Source organism: Homo sapiens, chromosome X, assembly GCF_000001405.40.
Source record: "Homo sapiens chromosome X, GRCh38.p14 Primary Assembly".
NCBI classification, from domain to species: domain Eukaryota; kingdom Metazoa; phylum Chordata; class Mammalia; order Primates; family Hominidae; genus Homo; species Homo sapiens.
In genome coordinates this window covers 87,264,244-87,266,587 of record NC_000023.11, presented here as the reverse complement: position 1 = coordinate 87,266,587, position 2,344 = coordinate 87,264,244, and the positions used below count along the sequence as shown (strand labels likewise).

Genomic DNA, 2,344 nt, shown 5'->3' with positions numbered 1-2,344 from the left:
GACTGAGAAGAGTGCATGGGTGGCTGAAGGGAAAATGAAGAGAGATCAGTTAACAGGTACAATCATGCAGATAGAATGAACACATCTAAATAGCAGAGTATGGTGATTATAGTTAAAAACAATCAAAGTATGATATATTTCAAAATAGCTAGAAAAGAGGACGTTAAATGTATTCAATACATAGAAATGATAAATATTGAGGTGATGAGTACTCTACATACTCTGATTTAATCATTATCTATTCTATGCATGTAACACAATTTCACAGGCACTTCCTAAATATGTACAAATGTAATGTATCAAAAAATTAAAAATACTTTATTGCTGAAAAACGCTAATGATCATATGAGCTTTCATGTAATTGTAACATTTTTGCTGGTGGAGGGACTTGCTGTTGGAGGACTTTGACTTCATATCAATGCGCAGTAAGGGGCAAAATGAGAGAATTTGACCCATGTATTACCTTTCTGATTGATCACAGTTGCGGTTATTGAAGGTTGGCGTGGTTGTGGCGATTTTTTAAAATAAGACAGCAATGCAGTTTGCTGCATCAATTGACTCTTCCTTTCATGAAATATTTCTCTGTAGCATGTGATGATATTTGATAGAACTGTTAGGAACGGCATAAGCAGATATGAGCAGGACAGAATAGGGCCCCAAAGAATGTCAGGCGACTGTCAGTTGACTATCAGGTGATTGTCATGCAGCTGATGGCATGTAGGGGAAAATTTCCTAACAAAACAGGAGACATCTTGAGCTCATGGGCAACAACTTACCAATAAAAACTTAAAATGGTGAACTTTGATCTTGCTCTGGGGACATGTCCAGGCATGCACAGTAAGAGAAGTAAGGGACAAAATGGCGAAGTTTTTCCTTCCTCTGGGAGCATGTCCAGGCATGCGTAGTAAGGGGCAAAATGGCAGAATTTGACCCATGTATTACCTTCCTCTGGGAGCACTAGCTCAGTAGGAGCAAATCTCCCCAAGAAAGCAGATGCATAATTTCAACCACCATATGGTGCACGAGAACCCTCCCAGATACCGGCAAGACACTGTGCATGTTTTGATTAGCCAACAGCTTTCTCAGGGGGAGAGATGACAGGAAATAGTGTTATAAATCTAAAAGAGCCCTGAGCTAACAATCAAGCAAGTCACTCAATCCTTTAAGTTGCTTGCTTGGTTTCTTCCAAGTGTACTTTTCTTTGCTTCAGTAATCTCTTGTTTCTGCCTTAAATCAACTTTTTTTTCTCTTGGCCAAATTATTTCTCCCAAGAAGACAAGAATTGAGGATTGTGTACCCCACCCAGACTCGCCACCAGTAACATATTTTATTGCCATGACTCAGATTGCTGCCTCTTGGTGAGACCCCTCTGTGCCTCACCTTCCTCAATTGAAGGCGCCTAGCTCTGCTTACATGAGGTCTTCTTTCTCTAATTTTCTCACTCACTAACCAGCCTCCACAACAAGGACTGGAGACCTTCATTTTCTTAACTAAAACTGGCTTCTCCACAATAAGTCTGAACCCCGTTCTGCTTCTTTTTGGGGACAAGTTAGCTGCTTCTCTACTTTTGCTTTATGTATCCCATGACTTTTTTCTCTGCTTAACACTTGGAGGAACATGACTCCCCCAACTCCTTATTACCTATTATGTATTTTTAATTCTTGCTAGACTATAAGACCAGGTTTTCCAGTGGCTCTTGAGGTGATTTGTTCACCTCCATAGGGCATCTGTCTGTGGCCCATTAATATTATCTCCCATCTCCCTTCTACAGCTATCCCTACTTTGGGAAGAGGGACAATTCTTTCTCTAGCTTTTGTGGACTCCTGTCCCAAACTCCTGGCCATCTGGTGGTTTCTCCTCTATGTCAAGAATGCCAATAAGCATTGTCCTTTTTGTTCTGAGGGCTACTGATTTTTGTGAATGCACAAAAACATCTCACAAATGTCTTTTTCATTCTCTCCCATTCCCACCAATCTCAGAGAAATTGTCCTGCTTTTTAAATACTTGTTTTGCATGCTTCCCCAAGAACCCACATTGGCAATGATGGGGACTCAAATGCAGGCTTTTCTCCACTCCTCTGCCGTTTGTAACGTGCACCAGGACACATGCCATTCACAACACGCACCAGGACCTCAAGTGCTGTATCTAGGAAAGAAATGCCCAGTTCTCTTACAGCTACTGGCTGAGGATAAGGTCCTTACGTACCTACAGGGACATGAGAAATGGGAATATGAAAGAATTGAAAACCATTTCATTACTGGAAGCTACAAATGAGAGTGACTGTAAGGTTATGGGGTTAAAGGTACAGCCCAGCTAGAAGCCATAAGTGCAGAGCAGATTACCA

At 41.2% G+C, this 2,344-nt stretch overlaps 1 annotated feature.

Moving 5' to 3' along the window:
* Positions 243-1,442: an enhancer, noted in NCBI's record as "MED14-independent group 3 enhancer chrX:86520149-86521348 (GRCh37/hg19 assembly coordinates)". NCBI's record gives its function as "activates an origin of replication core promoter dependent on BRD2, BRD4, P300/CBP and CDK7 cofactors, and independent of MED14, by STARR-seq in HCT116 cells {active_cell/tissue: HCT116}" and the evidence as "EXISTENCE:reporter gene assay evidence [ECO:0000049][PMID:35650434]".